The sequence below is a fragment of the Homo sapiens genome, chromosome 9 (assembly GCF_000001405.40).
Source record: "Homo sapiens chromosome 9, GRCh38.p14 Primary Assembly".
Taxonomy (NCBI): Eukaryota; Metazoa; Chordata; class Mammalia; order Primates; family Hominidae; genus Homo; species Homo sapiens.
In genome coordinates, this window is record NC_000009.12 from 123918162 (window position 1) to 123944826 (window position 26665).

Here is a 26665-nt window from a genome sequence, read left to right on the forward strand (position 1 = left end):
CCTGTTAAAAGGACTTCAGAGTTCACTTGAAATTCCCACTGGACAGGCCGGGCGTGGTGGCTCATGCCTGTAATTCCAGCACTTTGGGAGGCCAAGGCGGGCAGATCATGAGGTCAGGAGATCGAGACCATCCTGGCTAACACGGTGAAACCCCATCTCTACTTAAAATACAAAAAATTAGCCGGGCGTGGCGGCGGGCGCCTGTACTCCCAGCTACTCGGGAGGCTGAAGCAGGAGAATGGCGTGAACCCGGGAGGCGGAGCTTGCAGTGAGCTGAGATCACGCCACTGCTCTCCAGCCTGGGCAATAGAGGGAGACTCCGTCTCAGAAAAAAAAAAAAAAAGAAGAAATTCCCACTGGACAAAGATAGGACAAATTAAACATCAGTGAGGACAGTAACTACAGCAGATTGAAATATAGCCAATAAGTTTAAATACATCCATTTAAAGTGACACTCCCCTCTCTCAAAAATTACCTTTTGAAAATGTTTAAAAAATTAATAAAATCAAGCATTTACCCTGCCTTTCCTATATGAACTGTATCTCAGAGCAACCAAATGGTTGATATGGAAAAGGTTTCTTTTTACAAGTATCCCAGCTAGTATGAAGAAGAAGTGATAGAAACAAAATATCACCATTTTATAACCTCTAATTAATGAACAGATCAAAGAGAGATAACCAGACATAATGTACCTCTTGATGGAAGTACCTATCACCACTTTTAAAATATTCTTGCCAAGAAAGTGAACTTGAATCTCATCAAGTCACTTAATCCAACTACCAATTTGTAGGAAATAAAGGGGACAGAGGAATACATTAAACAAACCTTAAGGATGCAACGGAAATCATATAGGACAAATAACCCAGTTCTTCAAAAAATAAACTGCATGGGGGAAAAAGACAGCAAATATCAACCAATTGCAATGTATGAACTTCGCTGATTCAAACGAATCCACCGTTTTTTTTAAATTTGACATAACTGAAAAACTTTGAACACTGACTGGATATTTAATAACATTAAAATTTTTTGACCGGGTGCAGTGGCTCATGCCTGTAATCCCAGCACTTTGGGAGGCCTAGGTGGGTGGACTGCTTGGGGTCAGGAGTTTGAAACCAGCCTGACCAACATGGTGAAACCCTGTCTCTACTAAAAACACAAAAATTAGCTGGGCATGGTGGCGCACACCTGTAATCCCAGCTACTGGGGAGGTTGAGGCAGGAGAATCGCTTGAACCCAGGAGGCAGAGGTTGCAGTGAGCCGAGATCACACCACTGCACTCCAGCTTGGGTGACAAAGTACAACTTCAACTAAAAAAAAAAAATTAAAAATTAAATTTTTTGGTTAACTTTTTAGGTGTGAAAATGTTATGTTTTTTAAAAAGAAAAATCTACCTTTTAGAGGCACATATGGAAGTATTTAAGAATGATATGACATCTGCGGCCTGGAATGGTGGCTCACACCTGTAATCCCAGCACTTTGGGAGGTGGAGGCAGGCAGATCACTTGAGGTCAGGTGTTTGAGATCAGCCTGGCCAAAATGGTGAAATCTCATCTCTACCAACAATACAAAAATTAGCCAGGCATGGTGGTGCACACCTGTAATCCCAGCTACTGGGGTGGCTGAGGCACGAGAATCACTTGAACCTGGGAGGTGGAGGTTGCAGCGTGCCGAGATTGCATCACTGCACTCCAGCCTGGGTGACAGAGTGAGACTCTGTCTCAGAAAAAAAAAAAAAAAAAAAAGGATGATATGACAACATCTGGGATTTGCTTCAAAATAATCCAGGACTAGAGAGCAGGGGAGGGAGTTACAGTCAGTTATCTATAAATAAAACTAGGTAAAACATAAATTAAGTGTTGAAACTGGTTGATGGGAATTTGGGGGCTCATTATACTATTCTACTTTTATAGATGTTTAAAATTTTCCAAAATAAAGTTTAAAAATAGGTTCAAGCACCAAGAAGAAAAAGAATAAAAAATCACTTTAAGGCCGGGCATGGTGGCTCAAGCCTGTAATCCCAGCACTTCGGGAGGCCGAGGCGGGCGGATCACCTGAGGTCAGGAGTTTGAGACCAGCCTGGCCAAACTGGAGAAATCCGTCTCTACTAAAAGTACGAAAAATTAGCCGGACATGGTGGCAGGTGCCTGTAATCCCAGCTACTCAGGAGGCTGAAGCAGAGGAAGCTTGAATCCAGGAGGTAGTAATTGCAGTGAACCAAGATCGTGCCACTGCACTCCAGCCTGGGCGACAAGAGCAAGGCTCTGTCACACACACACAAAAAAAACACTTTAAAAAGACTGAAAAGTAGTACCAGTTAAACAGAGATAAATATAAATTATTTGTATAAATCTTTTATAAAACTGAATAGATTTCCAATATTTATGATAAAGGGAACATTAAGTGGTTTTTTTACTTCAAGACAGGGTCTTGCTCTGTTGCCCAAGCTAGAGTACAGTGGTGCAATCTCAGCTCACTGCAACCTCCCCTTCCCGGGTTCAAGCAGTTCTCACACCTCAGCCTCCCAAGTAGCTGGGATTACAGGCATGCGCCACCATGCCCAGCTAATTTTTGTAATTTTTTTTTTTTTTTTTAGTAGAGATGGGGTTTTGCCATGTTGGCCCAACTGATCTCGAACTCCTGACTTCAAATGATCTGCCTGCTTCAGCCTCCCAAAGTGATGAGATTACAGGTGTGAGCTACCGGGCCTGGCTGGGGACATAAGTGTTCTTAAATGTTATAATTCTAATTGTTTGCACGCTCATCTTACCTGTCTTAGTAGACTATAGGCTTCCTTTCTTCCCAACCAGCAAGAGCAATAGTGCTTTGTATATATCAGCATCTCAATCTTTCAAACAAATTCAGTGAAATACACTACACGTCATCCTAACATTCTTACTGAAAGGAAGCAAATACTTTGGTTTTTAAAAACAAAACCAAAAAAAACTGTAATACTATAAAAAGGAACATACTTGCTGTTTTTTAACTTGTTTTTTAACTCCAGGTTGTTCAGACAACTGTGTTTTCTCCTCTCCAAGCAATATTAATGATAGCTGCCATTTAATAAGCAGTCATATCTCCACTGAGAACTAGGCACAATATCTCTTTTAATTATCACAACAACCCTGTAGGTTAATTTATTAGCTTCCTTCCATAAATATTATTTTTTTAACCTGAAGCTCAGAAATTTAGAACTCAGAGGGAGAATGTATAGTTCTGGGAACTCAGTACTCCAATGCTCACATACCCCTGGCTCCTCTCACACCCCGGAGTTCAAGAACTGCCAGCGTGGAGTCAAACAGTATCTTCTCTAGATTGGTTTCCTTCCTTCCATTTATTCATACAGCCTATGCGAGATCAATGCAACACCCTCAAACCTTTCCTGTGGCTAAAGTGAATTCAAAAGGTGGTTTTTCTTTTCCCCCTCTCTAAATCTACCATGAACAGATTTGCCTTCAGCAATTTAGTCCAGCCCACTTCAAGTCTTACTCATTCAATAAAGCACACACATTCACTATGGATCCCTCAAAGATTCCTTCCATTCTCAATGCAGACTAAAATGCCTTATCCCAATTATAACTTTTCACTTTTCCTCAGAAAAGCAAACATATAACCAGTCCTCACCTCACAAATACTCCATTTGTAACATAACTCTGCTAACCTTGGCAAGTCATCTTTGATTCTTCTTTTGCCTCTTACGTGTAATTTGTCACCAAGTCTTGTCATTTCTACTTAAAATCTCTCAAAGCCATCCTTTTTTTTTTTTTTCTTTTTTCTTTTTGAGACAGGGTCTCACTCTGTCACCCAGGCTGGAATGCAGTGGCGTGATCTTGACTCACTGCAACCTCCGTCTCCTGAGCTCTGTGGGAGCTCAAGTGATCCTCCCACCTCAGCCTCCCAAGTAGCTGGGACCACAGATACATGCCACCACACCTGGCTAATTGTTGTATTTTTTTGTAAAGACAGAGTTTCATCATGTTGCCCATGCTGGTCTCAACTTCCTGGACTCAAGCCATCCACCCTCCTTGGCCTCCCAAAGTGCTGGCATTACAGGCATGAGCCACCACGCCCGGCCTGTCATTCCTTTTCTTTACACTGCCAAAACCTTGCTCTGGACCTTGATCTTCAGCAGTAAAAACTATTTACACAGTTCCACAATCCAGTGGCCTCCCATTTTTTTCCATGCATTCTTCCTATCAGTAAAAAAGTGAGCATACATCTGATAAATATCCATAAATTATAATAATGCCTTACTATACTAACACATACATTAAAAAATACAAACTTTGAAGGTTGATATAAAAATAAATACAATTTCTAACATATTCTCACGTTCCAATGCGTCATCTTGTAAAAGCCAGAGATATCACTGTTCTAAACTGCTGCTGCCAGGGTAATCTACCTAAAAACCCAAATCTGATCATAGTACATCCCCAGTTCAACCCTTCAATGGCATCATATCCCACTGGCACATGCCTACTTCATCAACTTCCTCTCCTGTAATCTTTATCCTTATATCCTGTATTTCAGCTTTACCTTTTATCTCCCCATGACTTTTGCATACACAGTTCCCTATATCTGGAATGCCCTTGCCCTCAACAGTTACTGATTTGTACATAACAGTATCTTGAAGAGGGAAACACATTCTAAATGTCATAACCAACGTCCAAATGAACTTTTGGAATGTCACCTCTCTTTTCTATAGGAACATATATGTATTTTAACATATCTTTTCTTACTTTATTTGGCTCCTTTTCAAGTCCTGAATACTCGGAAAGAATGGGTACGGATTCCAATAAAAGTAGAGAACAAAACAACTTCATTTTGTTTATTTTTCTTCCTTGTTTATCTTTCCATGTCCCTACAAAGCCCCTTTAAGCAAAAAGGATGTTACGAACCCAGAGATTAGCTCTCCCTAGGGCCAGGAAAAAGGCTGGACCTTTGCAACTGCAACCGGAACTCCAGCCAGGAACTTACACAGATTTAATAACTCAATGCAAACATACTTTCCTAGAGCAATACTCCAGGTCTTACCTTCTGTTTCAACCTTCCTATCTGCTGTACAATGCCCTCTAAGTTGACTACAATGGCTAAGAAAAGAGTGATGGAGTAGCACCAACATGTTTTCCAGAAAAGTCATGAAAATTCAAGTGGCTGACTCTGAGCACTAACGATGGAGAGCTTGGTCTTCAAAGAGACTTTTATTCCACCACTCCAAGTCTCTCTACATTCTCCTTTGGGGACAGGGAGGACAGCACTGTGGCGGAGAAAGGGAAGAGGGGAATAGGCATTAGAGGAAGAAGGCCTGGAAGGAAGTCACATTCCAATTCTTGGTCTCATCACAAAGCAGAGAGATACGTTAGTTGTGCTATACAACAGGCCTCAAGAAAAAGCAAACTTTTTGTGTATTTTGGCAATGGGATCCTTTAAACAAACTGGAGCAGAGCTATCATAAGCCAACACTGCTCCTCTATTCTTGAAATGAGATCGGTTTATCCTCACTTTCAAGTCATATAACTTCCACTTGTCTTCCTTTGGTAATCCCCCTCCATTCTCCAAATCTCCCCTTTCTTTCAGTTCAAGTTCCAACCTCTTCCTAGAAACCTATCTCCGTCTACACTGATCTTTTCTATGTAACTCATTTGGGCCAAATCAAAACCACAATAAAATACCACTTTACACAAAGTGGTACAGCTGCTTTAGGAAACAATTTTAACAGTTTCTCAAAATGTTACATAGAGTTACCAAAAGATCCAGCAATTCCACTCCTAAGTATATACCCAAGCGAAATAAAAACATATGTCCACACAAAATGTTCATAGCAACATCATTCATAATGATGAAAAGGGGAAACAACCCAAATACCTAACAACTGACAAATGGATGAGTAAAATGTGGTATGTCCATACAATGGAATATTATTCAGCAGTAAAAAGTAATGAAACACTCATGCATGCTCCAACATGGATAAATCTTGAAATCATTAAGTGAAAGAAGCCACGCAGGACGGGTTATATATGATTCTATTTATTAATATATGAAATGCCCATAAAAGGCAAATCTATAGCAAGTAGATTAGTGATTGCCTAGGACTGAAGGGTTTGGGGGAATGAGGAGTGTCTAACAGGCATGGGGTTTCTTTCTGGGGTGATGAAAAAGTTCTGGAATTAGTGGTAATCAATCACCCTTGTGAATATACTTAAAACCACTTAAAAAAGTAAATTTTAGGGCTGGGCACAGTGGCTCATGCCTGTAATCCCAGCACTTTGGGAGGCCAAGGCAGTCGGATCATCAGGAGTTTGAGACTAGCCTGGCCAACATGGTGAAACTAAAAATACAAAAACTAGTCAGGCATGGTGGCGGGCACCTGCAGTCCCAGCTACTTGGGAGGCTGAGGCATAAGAATCACCTGAACCCAGGAGGCGGAGGTAGCAGTGAGCCAAGATCACACCACTGCACTCCAGCCTGGGGGACAGAGTGAAACTGTCTCAAAAAAAAAAAAAAAGTAAATATTATAGTATGTGAATCTTATGTTGTAATCTTATAAGATTCACATACTATAAAATTTCGTATCTTAAACAGTTTTCAGATTACCACAACCTACAAGGCCCTGTCCAGGGTCTCTCCCTCTGACCTCACCACAAGCCTCTCTGCCATCAGTCACTACTCAAACCCACTGGCCTTCTGTCCGTTCCTGAAATATGCCTAGGGTTTTCTTGCCTCAAGGCCTGGAATAAAAAGTCTTGCCTAGTCTCTTTAGATGACTAATACCTCCTCATCCTTTAAGTCTCAGCTCAAATGTCATCTCCACAGTGAGGCCTTCCCTCGCCACTCTATCTAAAATAGGACAGTCGCTCCCATCATTTTCTCTGAGGCAACTCATGTGCTTCCTTTATAGAACATCCACATAGCTTTATGTGAATTCACCTGGTTTTTTTAATGTCAGGTCCACAAGACTGTATGCACCGTGAGGAGTGAATCTGTATTATTCACCATCGTAATTCCCAATGTCTAACACAATTCCTGGCATTTAAGTGCCAGGAATAAATGGTAATATTTTTATTTCCCTAATATGCCACGTCCTCATATGTACTGCTCCCTCTGCTGATACCACCACCATCACTACTGCCTCTACTCCCTCTGCTAACCACCCCTACCTATCTCTCAGCTGAAACATGATCCCCTTGGTGAAGGCTTCCTTTCCTGACCCTCCCTCCTCCCCAGAAGACAGTCTCTCCTTCACTTACTCACCTATTCGTCACCAGCGGCATCTCCACCATTGCAATTAACTTATACTGTATTATACTTGTGTTTTGTTTTTTTTGTTGTTTTGTTTTGTTTTGGTGGGGAGGGAGTCTGGAAGGGATTGTTTTTGTTTTACATTTGTGTCCACTACTTTAGAAAGCCTTAAAGAAAAATATTTGTTCATCTTTGTGTCCCCAGTACTTAGCACACTGCCAGGCACAGTATTGCCACTAATTATGATAATAATGGCTAACATTTATTGTTTAATATGTGCTTAATCTTCTTAGTTCTACAGTAGGTAAATGGATGAATAAATGGATAAATTTCTTGGTCACTAACCTCACAGAGGTCACAGTTTGACAGGGACAGAAGACAGGTATACAGGCTAATGTAGAATAATCACCACCACAAGGCCAAATTAGTTGCCCTGCCCTGTTCCTATGCCTCAAGTCTTAGAGTATGCTTTTCTCTGAGTCCATAAATGTCACGTTTCTTCAAACTCACTTAGAAAACTTCCTTCGATTACTTACAGCCCACTTCCTGCACTTGGTGCCTGGAAGCAATTTCTAGGATGTCACCACAAGCAATATTAAACTGCCACATAGTTTCCTGCTGTGTGTCTGCATTATCAGTTAAATTGCTTCATATTAACCACATTCCAGTCCACTGGGATCATTCAAACACTAAATAAGATTTAAAAATACCTGTTGAAGATTGTCAGTTACCACTGCTCCTTTTATTCTTCTAGATAAATGTCCATACAGATGTAACATTTAGGTTTCCAGGGTGCTACCTGCATACTGGTGACCTTCTCTTTTTTTGTCCATTAAATGTTGATTTGAGGCAAGACAATGTTCCTTTATTAAAATAAACATGAGGCTGGGCACGGTGGCTCACATCACACCTGTAATCCCAGCACTTTGGGAGGCCAAGGCAGGCAGATCACCTGAGGCTGGGAGTTCAAGACCAGCCTGACCAACACGGGAGAAACCCGTCTCTACCAAATAAAGAAAATTAGCCAGGCATGGTGTCTCATGCATGTAATCCCAACTACTGGGGAAGCTGAGGCAGGAGAATCGCTTGAACCCGGGGGTTGGAGGTTGCCATGAGCCAAGATCATGCCATTGCACTCCAGCCTGGGCAACAAGAGCAAAACTCCATCTCAAAAAAAAAAAAAAAAAAAAGAACTAAATAATCTAGTAAAAGGCCTGCGTAAACCATATAATTTGCCTTAGAAATTTATAAAATATAAAACTTTTCTTCCTCAAGGGTTTTTTTTTTAACTCGATAAACACTCAACTCGGTCTTAATTAGAATCTTAATATAGATCCTAATGTATTTCTTAAATGCGTTCCATGAACTCTTCTCAAACAACCATGTGCCAGGCATTGAGTCTGACACAGGGAACTCAAAGATAAATAAGACAGTCCTTCCTCTCAAGAAGTTTATGTCCAGCATGGTACGGGACACAGACAAGAAACGAGATTCAGTATTGTGACTGCAATAAACACAAGGGGCCACAGAAACACGGATGAAGGGCACCTGGCCTAGACTGGAACAGGAGGGGGTGGGGGTGGCAACAGGAAACTGGCATCAAGGCAGGCGTCTGGGGGATGGCATCTGATCTTAGGCCTATAAACTCCCATTCTCTCATTTGAAAAATGTGGTTAATAAATAGCATCGCCACCACTGGACAGTAGTGAGGGTTTCATGAAATGGTTCACATTAAGGATTTCCACGGTACCTGACAGAGATTGTGTTCAACCAGGCTTAAACTTAAAAGAGAAGTCTGATCAAACACGAAATCTCAACACCTGTGCCTAGCAACTCACGTGCTTTACCACTGATCACACAACAGACACCAGCTTCACAATTACACACAATATTGTTTTAAATCAACTTTTATTTTTTAATAATGAGACAATGTTAAGCCCTACTCTGCATGTTAACAGCCTAATTCCTTGGTCATTAAAATTTTCTTCTCCATTACCTTAAACATACCTTTCTCTGACATTTCTAATATACAGTAATGTTCTTAGTCTTTTGATACAGAAGGTGAAAAAAAAGAAAAAAACCTAACAATTACTGAGTTTTTAACATGGACCTGACATTTACATTGATACTGTGTTCAATGCTCATAATAACCCTACAACCTGGACACAGTCCTCCCCATTTTACCTTCAGGGAAACTGAGGTTGAAAAGGCAGTCTGTGTAAAGTTTCATAATTAGCATTAAAAAGAGCTGGAATTTGAACCTAGACCTGATTCCACCTAGTCAACTGACTTGCTGCATCAGAGATAAGCAAGAGAAAACAAAAGGAACCCCTCCCCCTTGTCCCTACCTCCAAGACTGTCCTATTCAATGGAACCTGCACACTTAGATTTCACCACAGCCAGGAGAACATCTTGAATGCCCTGCCAGGAGGGAAAGCCAGCCAGTAGTAACCAAAGCTCTGTCTTCTCCAACAACTAGAGGAGCACTTAAGTGGGTAATTTCCTGTCCATCCCCATTCCTAGCTACAGGCAGAAGTTGCATAATCAACAGTCACTATAAATCACAACTACTTTTCATAACTTCTCTCTTCATATTCTCTTTCGGTTTCACCACAAGCTAACATATTTCCCAAGCCTAAGTTTTTATCACAGAGTAGTCTAGTTTCAAGATCAATAAGGCTATTCTTCATACTCATTTCACGCTTAATACAATTCCATGCCTTAGTAAATTCCCTAACCCAAGTGCTCAGAATTAGCGATGGGTTCCACAAAACACATTTGAGAAATGTATTTGTCAACCTGCTACCTTGGAGAGCAACAGAGAGATTTGATGGCTAGCCATCTGAACTTTTACTTGCTGGATTTTAATACTGGTTCTGACACTCACTGCTTCATGTCAGGCAAGTTTCTGAACTTTTCTGTAACAAGAAGGGTAAGTGTCCTCACGCATACTCTGCAACTCTAAGTTGGCTTCTGGAAAGTGTTTCTAAGTGCTATTGAAATCCAAGTTTACAACTCTTACTTGGAAGCAGGAGCTAAACTTGAGTGCCTCTTTAATCCCAATGTTTCACAAACGACATCTTTTTACCTCCCAAGCCTCTCAAGCTCTTGTTTGGAGCATGCTTCTAACTTTTTTCTCATTTCCACAAAAATAAAGATTTAACAGAGTGTTCATGCGACTCTTCCATTTTCATTACCATAAGCAAACTTTTCTAGTTTCATTCAGCAGATGTCTCAAGGCTGCTGCAGCGCATCTCATACATATTTTGTAAATGAGAAGCCTAACCACACGGGGGACTGCAAGGCTGGGCAAGGGTCACACTGCACGGGCATCACCTGGACATGAGATGCAATGTTTGAATAATTATTAGTTTCACCCTTAAGGCCCTTCTCCTTTCAAACTTCCCTAGTACAATTCTCAAAATGCTGAAATAAACACATTCCACAAACTTTCTTGTAAGAGGGTTTAAAGTGTCCTAGGAAAGTTGTTTTACAGAAAAGCCTATGCTGTCAACTTTGCTTTTTAATGCCCTTAAACAATTCTATTAGTCACAGAGGAAAAAGTGAACATTTGTTAGTAATTAGAGATAAAACATCTCCAGTTCTGGGGCAGAGGAAGGGAGAGGCCACAAGAGGACCTGGCTGGGAGGGGAGATAGAGTCGAAAGCCACACACCCAAATTGGACCGCTTAAGAGTTGCACTTTCCAAAGTCAACTTCTAAGTCTACAAGGACAGCAACAATGTTTCAGTGGATTCTGAAGTTACATGTATCAACAATTTCCCCGGAAAGCTAACCCTCCACCGGGAACTCCAGGTGAATGAATGAGTGAGGGAATTCGCCAGATTGAGTTACAAAGCCTTTCCAACGATTATCAAGAGCAGGTGCTCGGTTACAACACAGAGGTATCCTCCTTCACAGCCTTTGGACCTTGCTGCGTGGAGATTTTCACAGATAAGAGGGGGGAAATAGAGAGACAGGCCTTCCTCCCCGGCCATCCACACCTTAGGTGGCCACACCATGAGCGGCCCCTCCCTCTAAGAACCTCACGCGACTTCTGTGGGGGCCGCAGGCCTCAAGCGGCCAGGCTGCAACCTCTCCGGACCTGCCAACTTTCAGGGGCGCCCCAAACATGCCCAAACATGGGGAGGTGCTTCCGGGGCTTTCCCACTCCCCTTCCCCACAGTTGAAGGACCATTTTCAGGGGCTCTCCGTAAACCCGGGGAGGGGGCCGCCCTGTAATCTCAGCTGTTCCGACCCCCAGGTGAGGAGGGGACACCTGACCCCCGGCGCCCTGCCACCCCGCGCGCACCCCGCCCCCGCGCCTCCCTGGATCGCCATAGCAACCGTCCCCCTCCCCGCGTGCCGGCGTCACGCGGGGCGCCCCTCTGGTCTCGGCAACAAGTCCCCCGCGCGGCCCGCGGCCTGCAGCCCTGGCCCGGCCTCGCCGCCCCGCGCCCGGCCCGGCTCCGCCCGGCCCGGCCGCACTCACTTGATCCTGGAGCCCATGGTCCCCAGGCCTCCTCATGGGCCCGCGGGCCCCGCTCGGCGCTGCGCTGCCCGCCCGCCCGCGGCCGACCGGCCTCCCTCTGGCGCTCTCCCCGCCCCTTCCTCCCTTCCCTCAGGCTGGGGCCCGCCCGCTCGAGGCTCGCTCCCTCGCCGCCGCCGCCGCCTCCAGGGGTTAATGTACTCGCTCCAGCCCGGCGAACGCCATGGTCGCCGGCGCGCGTGCCCGGCGCGCGCCGCCCCCTCCGCCTCTCACCACCGCCCCTCCCGCCCGCGCTGCCGCCGCCGCTGCCCGCTGGGGCTGCTGGGAAGTGTAGTCCGCTCGCGGGGGCGGGGCCGTGGCCGGTGGGGGCGGGGCGGGAGCGCGGTCACCCGCACGTCTCCCAGGGCGCGGGCCCCGGAGGACTCTGGCGTTCCGTTGCAGGCCCTTACACATCTGCACCCCACTGCGCCCCGCTGGAAACCTCCACTCACAGCCGCCCTGAAGAGACCCTAATCCTCTCATGGAGACCCCAAGCCCTCCCGATGAAACCGCCACCAATCCTCCCATTGGAGGCCTCCCACCCAGCCTCTCTAACGGAGAGCTAATCCCCCGCCCAGGCCTCCATGAAAACACGTTTTCCCTTTAACATCCCGCACCTTCCAGTAAGTTCCGTGCAGAACCTCTTCTCCATCACACCGTCCACTTCCCCATCTGAAGGCCTTTCCTCTTCCTTTCCCCTTAGAGCTTGAAGGAGACCCCACATACCTACAGGAAAGCCACCTGGGGGCTTCGTGGACCCACGTGGTGGCTCAGCTCTGCCCTCCCGCTGAGGACCTCTGCCTCCCTTTATCAGCCGTTTTGGGAACTCCAACATCGAAGCCTCCTGTTAACACAACAGTCCCTGATAGAGATTAACTCAATGCAAATGAAAGGATTTGAGAGCCGAGATCACCAGCCTGCTACCTACCCCTGCTCCCCCTTGGGATTCACTTCCATGAACACCTCAATTTCATCCCCTCTAGGGCCAGAGGGATCATAAAGGAAGCAATAATCACAGCTACCATTAGCCACCCTTTAATGAGCGGGTGAGTGCCCTTTCTGCATCAGACACAGTATTTCCGTACATCATTAGTGCCAATCCTCACAATAATCCTGTGTTCATCTCCCTAATTTACAAAGAGGAAACTGAGCCACATTCCCAAGGTCACATAACTAGCAACGAGTGAAGAAGCCAAGATTAGTGTCCAGACTGAATCATTCCAGACACCTGTGACATAGTCATGCTTTAAGGTGGCACCTTTGGCCACAAGTCCAAAGACATTTTTAATATTAGGCTTTTTTTCCTTTTTTTTTTTTTTTTTCCAATTTTCTGTCCCGAAATGCCATTCATCACTTCTGCCATTTTAGTTCTTATAAATGCATGGAGTGCCTCCCCACCCTACCCCCACCCCATAGCCTCTACGTAACTGGTCCTGCGTCCTAGCTCCCGGCCAGGATGGGAGGAAAGAAAGCCAGAAGATAAGTCGTAGAAGACTTCTTCTGTTGGAGTCACCTTCTGAATAAAGATAGTTTCTCCCTTTTGCCTCTGCCTTTAGGTTGTTGAAGTCAAAGGGTAAACTTTTTAAAATGAAAACCAAAAAAAAAGTGAAAATGTCCAAACTGTCATTTTGAATTTAAAGTCTTATGCACCCAGACACCAATACCGACTTGTAAACACCCCCAGGAGCAAAGCTCTGCTAGACAGGCAGGAGCTCTGTGGTGTTTATTCACCTATGAAACTTCTCCAAGGAACAGTTGCTATCAAGATCTTCCCTGGAATGGGAGCCAGTTCAAAAGCTCTGAGCAGGAGACTATAAATAAAACAAAGTTATTGGTGGAGGGCAAAGCTGGCTGCTTTTCAAAGGAGGTTGTAGCCATCCTGGCCACAAATATGTCTGGGTGCCTGCTGGGTGGGGTGTGTGTGTGTGTGTGTGTGTGTGTGTGTGTGTGTGTGTGTGTTGGAGAGGGAGGTAGAAGGTGGGGATTATGTGTCTGCTCAGGTGGCCTCAGAGACAGCAGGGTGGTCTGAGGAGAGAGCACTGGACTGGGAGTTAGGAACGTGGCTTCTAATTCTGGCTTCAGCATTGACTGGCAGATTTTATGCAAATGATTAGACAAGTGTATGTTTTAGTTTCCTCCCCCGTAAAATGGGCAGAGAGAGTGATGAGAAGCTTCCATCATAAGAGCGAGTGTAACATAGGAGCAAAGAGCACAGGCTCTAGAACCAGACTGCCAGGGTTTAAATCTCAGCTCTACCTCTTACTAAATATATGGCCTTGGGTGAATTATTCCTTCTCTGTGTGTCTCAGGTTCTCTGTCTGTAAAATGGAAATGGTGATAATAATAGACCTATTTTAGTGAGTTGACACGAGGATTAAGTGAGTTAGTGACATTTATAAAGTATTTAAACAGTGATTATCACATATTAAGTACTCAAAAATTAAAAGCAACTATTATATACAAAACACTTAGCACCGTTTGGCTTTTATTATTAAAATTAATAAGGCAACCAGTGGCTGGGCATGGTGGCTCACACCTGTAATCCCAGCACTTTGGGAGGCCAAGGCGAGTGGATCACTTGAGGCCAGGAGTTCAAGACCAGCCTGACCACCAACATGGTGAAAACCCATCTCTACTAAAAAATAGAAAAAATTTAGCCGGGTGTGGTGGCAGGCGCCTGTGGTCCCAGCTACTCAAGAGGCTGAGGCAGGAGAATCGCTTGAACCCAGAAGGCAGAAGTTGTAGTGAGCCGAGATCACGCCACTGCACTCCAGCCTGGGCAACAGAGCAAGACTGTCTCAAAGGAAAAACAAAGGCCGGGCATGGTGGCTCATGCCTGTAATCCCAGGACTTTGGGAGGCTGAGGCGGGCAGATCATGAGGTCAGGAGATGGAGACCATCCTGGCTAACATGGTGAAACCCCATCTGTACTAAAAAAAAATACCAAAAATTAGCTGGGCGTGGTGGTGGGCACCTGTAGTCCCAGCTACATGGGAGCCTGAGGCAGGAGAATGGCGTGAACCCAGGAGGCGGATTTTGCAGTGAGCCGAGATCATGCCACTGCACTCCAGCCTGGGCGACAGAGCAAAACTCCGTCTCAAAAAAAAAAAAAAAAAAGTACCCAGCTCCGTGGCTTGTTCCTGTAGTGCCAGCTACTCAGGAGGCTGAGCCCAGGAGTTTAAGGCTGAGCCTAGGATTTTGAGGCTGCAGCACGCTATGATCATGCCCATGAATAGCCACTGCACTCCACCCTGAGCAACATAGCGAGGCCCCATCTCTGAAATAAATAAATACATTTTGTAAAACTGATCAACATAATAATAAAGAGTACCATGCTTGGATTCGGGAGACCTGAGTTCTCAGCCCAACTTGTTTGTTCACGTTCTGTATCAGTTAGAATTCAATTCAACTGTAAATGATAGAGAAGTGAAATAACAATTGTTGAAAAAAATAGAATTTTATTTCTCTTTCACATAAAGTCTGGCGATTAACATTCCAGAGCTGGTATGACAATTCTATAATTAATGGAGACCCAGAATTCTATCTTATTGCTCTCCGATTCTCCAGGAAGAATTTCCACCTCATAGTCCAGGATGGCTGCTTAAACTCTAGCTATCTAATCTGCAGCCCAGCCTGCAGGAAGGAAGGAGGATCTGTCCACGTCAAACTCTGACCTTTAAGTGTACTTCCCAGGAATTACTCACACCACTTCTATTTACATCCCAGTGGCCAGAATTTAGTCATGCAACCACACCTCACTAGAAAATACAGCCTTTATTCCAGACAACCAGACAATAAGGTCCGCAGCTGAAAGGTAGGGAGAAGGGAATGGCATTTCCAGGAAAGAAGGGGAGGATAGATATTGCAAGACACCCAGCAGGCTCAGCCATGCTTGGCTATGTGATTTTGAGCAAGCCACAGATTTAACCAAAATAAGAGAATCAGGCCAGGTGACCTCCTTCCAAAGTCCTTTTGGGTTCTAAAGTTCTATAATTCAGTGGCTGATTGATTTTATAATTCCTTTAAACCTAGGTGAATCTGACGTCATTCAAATGAAATGAGACCTCTGTGCCAAATACATGCCATAATCAATTGTTGGAATGTAAATCTTCTGGTGAAGAGAAAGGATTTAGGAACTTTGCCTTCTTGACTGTTGTCAAAATAGGCTAAGCAGATCTAGCAGATAAAAGTCCAACGGTAGGGATGATACCACCTGCATTGACACTTTGATGCTCCTCAGTTTCCAAGCTTGCTCTTGCTCTTTTGTACCTGTTTGGTTTCTCTGCTTGGAATTTAGGGAGCTGTGTTTATTGAGGGGAAGACAGCAACCCCAGGGAGCTCTATTGGCCCCCAATTATACAATACGAAATAGCAGAACAAATGGTCTGTGTGCCAGGATTCAGTGGTCTGTTGTTCCTAATACGTTAAATTGTGATTATATTATTTTTTATTGAAATGTAGTTCACCAACCATACAATTTACCACTTTAAATGTGTACATTTCAATGGTTTTAGCTGATGGACTTTTGGATTGTTTTCTTTTTTTTGAGTCTCACTCTGTCACCAGGCTGGAGTGCAGTGACGCAATCTCAGCTCACTTCTCAGCTCACTGCAACCTCCACCTACCGGGTTCAAGGTATTCTCTTGCCTCAGCCACATGAGTAGCTGGAACTACAGGCGTGTGCCACCATGCCCAGCTAATTTTTGTATTTTTAGTAGAGACAGGGTTTCACCATGTTGGCCAGGCTGGTCTCAATCTCTTGACCTTGTGATCCGCCCACCTCAGCCTCCCAAAGTGCTGGGATTACAGGCGTGAGCCACGGCGCCCATCCTGGATTGCTTTCTTCTTTTGGTTATTGTGACTCTGGAGCCAGATGGACCCAGGTTGCTAGTTGGGTGAACTTGGAGAATGTTACTTAAATTTTCTGAGCCTTGGTTTCTTCTTCTTTAATAAGAGGATGATAATACCCACTTTACAAAGATAAAACAAAATGAAGAATTTAAGCTTCTTGCTCTATATTTGGTTTTCAATGAATGGGAATATTATTCTGCTAAATGGTCAAATTGATAAAGAGAGGAACCACATCAGGTTTGTCCATACCTACTTCTCAACATCTAGTACAGAGCCTAGCACGCAGGCAGTGACCGGTAAATATTTTTTGAAAAAATAACTAAACAACCACAAAACCCTTATTTTGAGGCACATTCCTCAAGAATAATAAGCCACAGAACAAGATTTGGGAAGTGCTTTCTTAAATTTGAACTTAGTATATTCAGTTGGTGCATTTGCTCACCTTCTATTTTTTATACATTTTTAAAAATTGTGGTAAAATGTGCATAACAGAAAGTTGACCACTGTAACCATTTTTAAAGTGTACATTTCAATGGCATTAAGTACATTCACATTGTTATACATCCATCACCACCATCCTCCTCCAGCACTTTTTTCATCTTCCCAAACTGAAACTTTATACCCATGAAATGGCACAACAACTCCCCCTCCCATCCTCCCTTCCCTCCACTTTATTCCTGGCAACCACTATTCTAGTTTCTGCCTATGAATTTGACCACTCTCATATAACCTCATATAAGTGGAATTGTACATTATTTGTTTGTGACTGGCTTATTTCACTTAGCATAATGTCTTCAATGTCCATTCAAGCTGAAGTATATGTCACAATTTCCTTCCTTTTTAAGGAATAGTAGTTCATGGTATGTATAGATCACATTGTGTTTCTCCATTCATCTGCCAATGGACACTTGGGTTGTTTCTACCTTTTGGCTCTTGTGAATAATGCTGCTATGAACGTGAGTGTACAAATATCTCTTCAAGACCCTGCTTTCAGTTCTTTGGGATAATACCCATAAGTGGAATTGCTGGATCATGTGGTAATTCTTTTAAGATTTTCTGAGGAACTATTCTACTGTTTTCCATAGCAGTTGCCCCATTTTACATTTCCATCAGCAGTGCACCAGGGTTTCAATTTCCCCACTTCCTCACCAACACTTGTTATTTTGGGGTTTGGGGTTTCTTTTTTCTTTTTTCCTAATAGCTATCCTAATGGATGTGAGGTGGTATCTCACTGTGGTGTGGTTTTAATTTGCATTTCTCTAATGATTAGTGATTTGAGCATCCTTTCAAGTGCTTGTTGTCCACTTGTATATCTTCTTTGGGGAAATGTCTATTCAAGTCTTTTGCCCATTTTGCAATCAGATTGGGTTTTTTGTCGTTGTTAAGTTGTAGGAGTTATTGATATACTTTGGATGTTAATTCCTTATCAGATATATGATTTGTAATATTTTCTCCCATTCAGTGTATTGGTTTTTCACTCTGTTGATAGTGTCCTTTGATGCAGAAAGGCTTTTAATTTTGATGTAGTTCAGCTTATTTTTTCTTTTGTTGCTGGTGCCTTTGGTGTCATATCCAAGAAATCACTGCCAAATCCAATGTCATGAAGTCTCTTCCTTTTCTCCTAAGAGTTTTATCATTTTAACTCTTAGACATTTAGGTATTTGATCCATTTTGAGTAATTTTTTTGTGTGTATGAGATAAGTAAGACTCATTATCTCCTTTTGAGAACTAAGTATGAGTGCCTGAGCCTTTCCTCATTTGTGATTAGTAATCCCAGACTGGACATTCACCTGTTCTCTGGATAGATGTTCATTATTTTACTATTGTTAATAATACCATTGTCTTAGGCTGTTCTTATACTGCTGATAAAGACATGTCCGAGACTGGTCAATTTACAACAGAAAGAGGTTTAATGGACTTACAGTTCCGCATGGCTGGGGAAGCCTCACAACCATGGTGGAAGGCAAGGAGGAGCAAGTCACATCTTACATGGATGGCAGCAGGCAAAAAGAGAGAGCTCATGCAGGGAAATTCCCCTTTATAAAACCATCAGATCTCGTGAGACTTATTCACTATCATGAGAACAGCAGGGGAAAGACCTGCCCCCATGGTTCAATTACCTCCCACCAGGTCCCTGCCACAACACATGGGAATTCAAGATGAGATTTGGGTGGGGACACAGTCAAACCATATCAACTACCTTGCAGATACTTAATAGTTTATATTTTCCCAACTGCTCAATAATCAGGGAGAGCTATTGTCCGTGGTTTAAAAGTGAAAATTCTGGCCAGAAATGCTGGCTCATGCCTATAATCCCAGTGCTTTGGGAGGCCAAGGTGGAAGGATCGCTCTAGGCCAGGAGTTTGAGACCAGCCTGGTCAACACAACAAGACCTCATTTTTACAAAACATAATTAAAAAGAAAATTAGCCGGGCATGGTGGTCCACACCTGTCGTCCCAGCTACTCTGAAGGCTGAGGTGGAAGGATCGCTTGAGCCCAGGAGTTCAAGGTTGTAGTAAGCTATGATTCTGCCACTGCTCTCCAGCTTGGGCAACAGGCTAAATAAATAAAATAAAATAAAATAAAATAAAATAAAATAAAATAAAAAGATTCTGATACAGAGCAGGCTTGAATGACTTACCTGAGATCTAATGGCCAGCAAGCCATGAAAACTTAGCTCAGATGGCCTAACTCCTGATTCTGGGATCATTGGTTAGTTCCCTAAGATACAATGTTTTATCTTGCTGTGGTTTTCCTTCACTGATTTATTCATTAATTCATCAAACATTATTTTTCTTAGTAATAACTATATTGTTAGTATAACTATATTGTTAGTATAACTAATATAGTATAACTATATTGTATATTGTATATAGTGTACTATATTGTTAAAAAATACAAAACAAGAATAAATAGCACATGTAATTTCTTTGCAGTCCCCTCTTCTCCTGACTATACATGGACTTATTTTTATTTTATTTTATTTTATTTTATTTTTGAGAAAAAGTCTCACTCTGTCGCCCAGGCTGGAGTGCAGTGGCATGATCTCAGCTCACTGCAACCTCCGCCTCCCAGGCTCAAGCGATTCTTGTGTCTCAGCCTCCCAGATAGCTGGGATTACAGGTGCATACCACCACGCCCAGCTAATTTTTGTATTTTTAGTAGAGATAGGGTTTCCCCATGTTGGCCAGGCTAGTCTTGAACTCCTGACCTCTGGTGATCTGCCCTCCTCAGCCTCCCAAAGTGCTGGGATTACAGGCGTGAGCCACCACACTTGACCTATACATGGATTTAAAGTGATATACTTAAGTCTCTTCTCATGGAAGCTAAGAGAATGGGCTCTGGAGCCAGACTGCCTGGCTGTGTGTGTGAGACCTTAGGAAAATTATTAACCTCTCTCAGACTGAGTTTTCTTATTTGTAAAATGGAAAGAATAGTCCCTTCCTCATAGAATCATTGTGAAAGTTAAATGTGTTAATGCATGGGAAGTACATGATTAATCTTATTGCAATGGCTCAATGTTAACTATTATATATTTGTCTTCTTAACAACCAACCAACCGACCAATAAAAGCTGAATTCTAAGAACGGCCAGAGAGAATTCATGGTTTAAAGCCTTGGTTCCCCTATTTAGCTGTGTGTACCAGTATCACCTGTGATGCTTGTCTGTAACATGGCGTCTAGAGTCCAGTCTTGGAAATTCTACTTCAGAAGGGAGATAAGAAGCGCTGTGTTTTAACAAATTCCACAAGTGATGCAGATCCACGAACAGGTGTGGAACCACTGACTTAAGCCTGACCCAGATGCCAGTATGAATGGCATTCCCATGAGTACCCACAGGGCCTCAGCAGCCTGCTTGCTTCTCCCTCACGTGTCACCAGCCTTCAGCTCTGAATCCTGCATCCCACTGGCTTAGGCTGACTTCCTAAGGGGCAGTCAGTGGAACTTAGGTTGCATTTGGTTGGCTGAACTAGAAGACCCAAGCAAGGTGTCATGAACGATCCATTCACCCTTCTTCCAAGTCCCTCCTGTGTGCCAGGTCCTGTGATTAGGACTTTCTTGCTCCACATTTCTCTCCCCAGTCTGGCAGCAGAGCATTCAGCAGACATTTCCAGTGGGCTCACTCTGTACTTGGTGCCTCATGCTTGGTGTTGGGGACACAGTTCAGACACAGTTCAGAACCTGGCCTGGTGTAGCCTCTTCAGCCACCTTGCTTATCTACTATGGCTCAGGCTGGACACCCTGTAAAAGGACCTCTGTGTGCTTGAACTTGCTTCCGCACCTCCTACCTGGCCATTCCTTCTCCCTCATCTCTAGGATTTGATACATGCCTTGTTTTCCCAGGCCTGACCTTGACTCTTCCCAACTCACTTTGGATATTAATTCTACTTGTCAGGACTTCTAGGACCCCCTCCCCTGGGGCTGTTCCCATTTCCACCTGATTGGCTCAGTCTTTTAGGCAAGACCCAAGCCTAAACTCCAGAGGCCCAGTTCTCTTCCATTTTGAAAATAGTCACCATACGGCTCTAACATTTTGAAAGTGTGTTGGACTCTTGGACTCTCTGCTAAAGTTTTTCTTTATACTTTTTTTCATGCGTGCACGCTTGCACACATGTGCGTGTATCTTATTTATTTTAATTGCCCCTTCTAGAGAGACACCTCACATAACCATTTTTGTGTTTTAATTGTTAGTAGAAATTTTAGTTGTTTGAATTCTAAAGCTTTTTTTTTTGAGATGGAGTCTTGCTTTGTCGCCCAGTCTGGGGTGCAGTGGTGTGGTCTTGGCTCACTGCAACCTTCGTATCCCAGGTTCAAGCAATACTCCTGCCTCAGCCTACTGAGTAGCTGGGATTATAGGCACCTGCCACCAAGCCTGACTAATTTTTGTATTTTCAGTAGAGACACGGTTTTGCCATGTTGGCCAGGCTGGTCTCGAATTCCTGACCTCAGGTGATCCGCCCGCCTCAGCCTCCCCAAGTGCTGGGATTACAGGCATGAGCCACCGCACCCAGTGAATTCTAAAGCTTTTGTCCCAGTATTTCTCCTATGTCGCAAATCAAGGCACACAAAATGAGTGACAGTGATTGACTTACCTTAGCGTCTGAGTAGAGATTAAGAGCCCATTACTTTTAATGGCAAAAACTGCAATTACCTTTGCACCAACCTAGTACTTCATGGGATGGTGGTGAGGATAAAATGGTTATATCCGTAAACACTGAAGGCTCAGCAATAATAAATATTTGATAAATGAATAATTATCATAGGTACAGCTGGTGACTACTGACTATGTGTTTTACTCACATTATCTTCAATCTTGACAATGCTCTTGGAAGATTGGTACTATGATACACACTTCCAGAGAAGAGAGATGATCCCTGCTTCCAACCCCACTTCATGTCACCCAACCAAAAGTGGTAAGAGCTGAGGCTTGTGGTAAGAGCTGAGGCTTGTGCTAAGGCCTGATTCCCAAGCTGTCTCTCCTCTTCTTCCAAAACAAGTTCTACCAAGCTCCCGTCTCTCTCTCTCTCCACTCAGCTAAAAATATCCTGAACAGCATCCTCATTAGCTAATATGCATAAATTATTTTTTGCTTTTTGAAAATAATTGGCTCATTCTAGGCCAGGCGCGGTGGCTCATGCCTGTAATCCCAGCACTTTGGGAAGTTGAGGTGGGTGGATCACCTGAGGTCAGGAGTTTGAGACCAGCCTGGCCAACATGGTGAAACCCTGTCTCTACTGAAAAAAAAAAAAAAAATTAGCCAGGCATGGTGGCAGATGCCTGTAATCCCAGCTACTCAGGAGGCTAAGGCAGGAGAATCACTTGACTCCAGGAGGCAGAGGTTGCAGTGAGCCAAGATCACGCCATTGTACTCCAGCCTGGGTAACAAGAGCAAGACTCTGTCTAAAAACAAAACAAAACAAAACAAAATAAAAACAACCTTGCTGAAAATAATTGGCTCATTCAAAGGAAAGGCTTCCACCTCCATGAAGGAAGGAGCTGGGTTGCTCCGTGAAGGCTGTTCTGAATTCAGCAAAGGCAGCTGCCTGTGGAAGCTCCCCCTGCTTCTGGGCCTGTGCTGCTAGCCGGATGGCAGCTTAGCAGAGTGGAAAACCAACTCCCTTTGTTCACATACCTGCTGCATTTGAGCTAGGGGACTTTGGGCAAGTCCCTTCCAGTTTCCCAAGCGTCAGTCTCCTCAGCTATTACATCGAGATCATAGAAGTGCTTGCCTTATAGGGTTGTGGTGAGGATGAAATGAGATCATCCATGGGGCCTGACATGTAATATGTGGCCCTTCAAAAGCTGGGAGCTCCCATGATGTTGGGTATGAAGTAAACCACTGACATTTGCAGCTGAGGCAGGATAGCCTAGTGGTTAAGAGCATAAGGTTTGGAGCTGGAAAGTTCATACCTCAAACCCCAGCAGGTACCATGTTCTGGTTCTGTGACAGCCTCCTTCTCTCTCTAAGACTCTGGTAGTAAAAAAGATACAATACATATAAGGAACTCCAGAATGAACAGTGGCTGCGATCACAGCAAGCCTGCCCAACCAGATCATCCCTCTAATAGCCGTTGGAGTAATTGATTTCTGCTTCTAGGGCAAATGCACACAGACACCATCGAGTGTTCTTCTTGAGGCAGAGCACGTGTGCTCCAGGGCAGCTAAAGCCAAACTGTCTGCCCTGACTTCTCCTGCTGGTTATGTGGCCAATGACAGCTTAATGGACTCTTTACCCTTGAATGCTAAGGGGAAAATAACTCACAGCATTATAACATATGAATGTGATGTAGGTTTTTTTTCTTGAGCAATGCAGAGAGCGAGCCAGAAACATATGTAGAATTGAACCTCCCTTTTCCTGGCCCTGTCTGTATAGGAGACAGATTTAGCCATTGCAATTACCCATATCATTCATGGTTGTAAAATATAGCCACATCCATCCGTGTGTGTGTGTGTGTATGTGTGTGTGTGTGTGTGTTTTCCTGAATGATCTGAGGCTAACAAAACAGAGTATGTAGTCATCTTATTATGTGAGGACTGTGAATGCCTCTAAATTATTGATTTTCCAGGGACAAGCCGTTCCTCTTGGAATAAACGGATGGCTGTGCACACACACACATACACACACGTGCACCCACCCACACACACACACACACACAGACTTTGTTGTTATGAGGAAGCTAGTCAAAGATCTACCTGTGCAACTTTTAGAAAGCCATACAGGCGCAGTGGCTCACACCTGTAATCCCAGCATTCTGGGAGGCCGAGGCATGTGGATCACTTGAGGTCAGAAGTTTGAGACCAGCCTGGCCAACATGGGGAAACCTTGTCTCTACCAAAAATACAAAAAAAGTTGGCCAGACGTGGTGACGTGTGCTTGTGGCCCCAGATACTCAGGAGGCTAAGGCATGAGAATCTCTTCAGCCCAGGAGGCGGAGGTTGCAGTGAGCCAAGATTGTACCACTGCACTCCAGCCTGGGCAATAAAGGGAGACTCTGTGTCAAAAAAAAAAAAAAAAAAAAAAAGACAGACAGAAAGAAAGAAAGAAAGAAAGCTGTGCTGTCCTGACCAGATAGTCAGGGAATCTCCTCTGTGGGAAGCTAAAAATGTCCTCAGCTGCACAGTCTGAGGGAGGAGACAGTCAGTGGCAGCCACGGAGGCCTCCTTGAGGCTGAGAGGGGAGGGTGAGGCAGGGGACAAGGGCAAGGGGGGTGTGGGACACTGGTGAGACCATAGACTTGAGAAATCAGGCTGGACTGACCTGGGCTCAAATCCACCATCCTGACTTGGGGCAAGCATCTTCCTTATCTTGGAGCCTCAGTTTCCCCAGCTGTGACATGTACTTTGTATGGTGCTATGAGGATTGATGATAAACCAGGCTCAGGCCAGGCAAGACGTGAGGCACAGTGCCAGGCCCAGGGCGGTGCCGGGTACAAAGTGGCTCTTCCCCTTTGGGAGGAGATTCAGGCCAGGCAGAAGGCTTGCAGCGTCCCAGGTCCCAGGCAGTGCCAGGAATGTCCGCTGCAGCCACCCAGAGCCTCCCGGAATAGGAAGTGTGTGGAAGCGCGCGGCTCTCCATCTGGTTAATGTTCGCTTGTGTTTCCTGCTGGAGAGCATCACTTTTTTCACCTCACCTGGTTTGTTTACCCAAACAAGCTGCTCATTAACAACACGAATTGCATTTTCTGCAATTCTGTTGACAGCACAAATGTCTGCAGTCAGCTTGGGAGTTTGGTGGGAACTGTTGCTGGATCTTGCGTGGCCTAGCCAGCATAGCTTTTGAAGAAAGAAATCAAGGCCACACTGGGGTCTGGGGGAGGAGCATGGTGGCCTGGCTGGGGTCTGCTGGCAAGTCCAGCCCCAGGTCTCCAGCCTCTGAATGGGGACAGGGCCCTGGGCCCTCCCAGGAGAGGTAAGACACTTGGCAAAAAACAAAAACAGACAGGAGATTTTCAGGTGTGGGGCATAGGGGTGGGGATGGAAACAGATGTGACAGAGATGAAACCCTAGACAGAGGTGCAGACCTGGGGGGCCCAGCCTCCAGCAGAGAGACCCTGAGGGGCTTCCCTCATGGGCCTGGCAAACCCTATGTTCAGCTGCCTTCAGCACCCCCAAGCAACAAGAAGTGGATGAGAAAAATAATTATCCCAGCTGGGTGCAGTGGCTCATGCCTGTAATTCCAACATTTTGGGAGGCCAAGGCAGGCAGATGGCTTGAGCTCAGGAGTTTGAGACCAGGCTGGGCAAAATGGCGAAACCCCATCTCTACAAAAAAAAAAACACAAAAAAATTAGCCAAGCATAGGGGTGCACACCTGTGGTCCCAGCTACTCAGGATGCTGAAATGGGAGGATTGCTTGAGCCCAGGAGGTCAAGGCTCCAATGCACTGAGATCACACTACTGCACTCCAGCCTGAGTGACTGGATAATAAAATATTATTATTAATAATATTATTATTCCTTTCCTTGGTTTTGCCCCAAAAGATTGAGCTCAATCTGGTTTGCCAAAGCCCTGCCCTCTCATCTCAGCTGCTCAAAAAGAAGGACAAGGCCTGGTGCAATGGCTCATACTTGTAGTTCCAGTGCTCTTGGAGACCAAGGCGGGAGGATTGCTTGAGGCCAGGAATTCGAGACCAATCTGGGCAACATAGCAAGACCCTGTCTCTACCAAAAAAAAAAAAAAAAGAAAAAAAAACACATTGTTTTAATTAGCTGGGTGTGGTGTTGCATACCTGTAGTCCTAGCTACTGGGGAGGCTAAGGTAGGGGGATGGCTTGAGCCCAGGAGTTTGAGGCTGCAGCGAGCTATGATTGTGCTACTGCACTCCAGCCTGGGCAACAGAGCAAGACTGTGTCAGGAAAGAAAGAAAGAAAGAAAGAAAGAAAGAAAGAAAGAAAGAAAGAAAGAAAGAAAGAAAGAAAGAAAGAAAGAAAGAAAGAAAGGAAGGAAGGAAGGAAGGAAGGAAGGAAAGAAAGAAGGAAAGAAAGAAGGAAGGAAGGAAGGAAAGAGAGAAAGAAGGGAAGGAGGGAAGGAAGGGAGAGAGAGAGAGAAAGAAAGAAAGAGAAAGACAAGGTTTTTAATGCATGTGTTTGTTTATTTTACATTATTGCCCTCAGAATGCTTTCTCTTCTGCCTGTTTCCTCATTCAATACATTTCTATTGAAGGCTAATTGCACAGCAATGGGAGCTGAGGGATATTAAAGTGAAAAAACACACACCTTCCCCTCATGGCATTTACAGTCTAGCGGAAGGGATGATATTAAATAGCGTAACATTCACAATAGCAAAGACTTGGAACCAACCCAAATGTCCATCAATGATAGACTGGATTAAGAAAATGTGGCACATATGCACCATGGAATACTATGCAGCCATAAAAAAGGATGAGTTCATGTCCTTTGTAGGGACATGGAAGAAGCTGGAAACAATCGTTCTGAGCAAACTATCGCAAGGACAAAAAACCAAACACCGCATGTTCTCACTCATAGGTGGGAACCGAACAATGAGAACGCTTGGACACAGGGTGGGGAACAGCACACCCCAGGGCCTGTCGTG

General features: G+C 44.3%; 1 protein-coding gene across 28 annotated transcripts in view, besides 6 other annotated features; it reads right to left on the reverse strand.

The window, feature by feature from the left end:
• The window catches only part of DENND1A (DENN domain containing 1A), a 550469-nt gene extending 538504 nt beyond the window's left edge, over positions 1–11965 (reverse strand). For 23 of the 28 annotated variants that reach the window (NR_148208.2, NM_001352965.2, XM_047423624.1 and 20 more), the window contains exon 1: positions 11728–11965. Coding sequence is in view for 15 of the 28 variants with exons in the window: in NM_001352965.2 (NP_001339894.1) it covers positions 11728–11763 (36 nt within the window). In the remaining 13 variants the exon portion in view is untranslated. Of the gene's footprint in view, positions 1–10433; positions 11505–11727 lie in introns of those variants that run through there. The other 5 variants (XM_006717195.5, XM_011518886.4, XM_011518882.4 and 2 more) reach the window with 4 other exon arrangements.
• Positions 9722–9771: an enhancer, noted in NCBI's record as "active region_28953". NCBI's record gives its function as "activates an Ori minimal core promoter by ATAC-STARR-seq in GM12878 lymphoblastoid cells {active_cell/tissue: GM12878}" and the evidence as "EXISTENCE:reporter gene assay evidence [ECO:0000049][PMID:35858748]".
• Positions 10822–10901: an enhancer, noted in NCBI's record as "active region_28954". NCBI's record gives its function as "activates an Ori minimal core promoter by ATAC-STARR-seq in GM12878 lymphoblastoid cells {active_cell/tissue: GM12878}" and the evidence as "EXISTENCE:reporter gene assay evidence [ECO:0000049][PMID:35858748]".
• Positions 10822–11522: a biological region, named in NCBI's record as "H3K27ac-H3K4me1 hESC enhancer GRCh37_chr9:126691277-126691962".
• Positions 10837–11522: an enhancer, noted in NCBI's record as "H3K27ac-H3K4me1 hESC enhancer chr9:126691277-126691962 (GRCh37/hg19 assembly coordinates)". NCBI's record gives its function as "activates a minimal SCP1, AML or CMV promoter by ChIP-STARR-seq in naive H9 embryonic stem cells {active_cell/tissue: H9 hESC(naive)}" and the evidence as "EXISTENCE:reporter gene assay evidence [ECO:0000049][PMID:30033119]".
• Positions 11152–11351: an enhancer, noted in NCBI's record as "active region_28955". NCBI's record gives its function as "activates an Ori minimal core promoter by ATAC-STARR-seq in GM12878 lymphoblastoid cells {active_cell/tissue: GM12878}" and the evidence as "EXISTENCE:reporter gene assay evidence [ECO:0000049][PMID:35858748]".
• Positions 11702–12191: a silencer, noted in NCBI's record as "silent region_20252". NCBI's record gives its function as "represses an Ori minimal core promoter by ATAC-STARR-seq in GM12878 lymphoblastoid cells {active_cell/tissue: GM12878}" and the evidence as "EXISTENCE:reporter gene assay evidence [ECO:0000049][PMID:35858748]".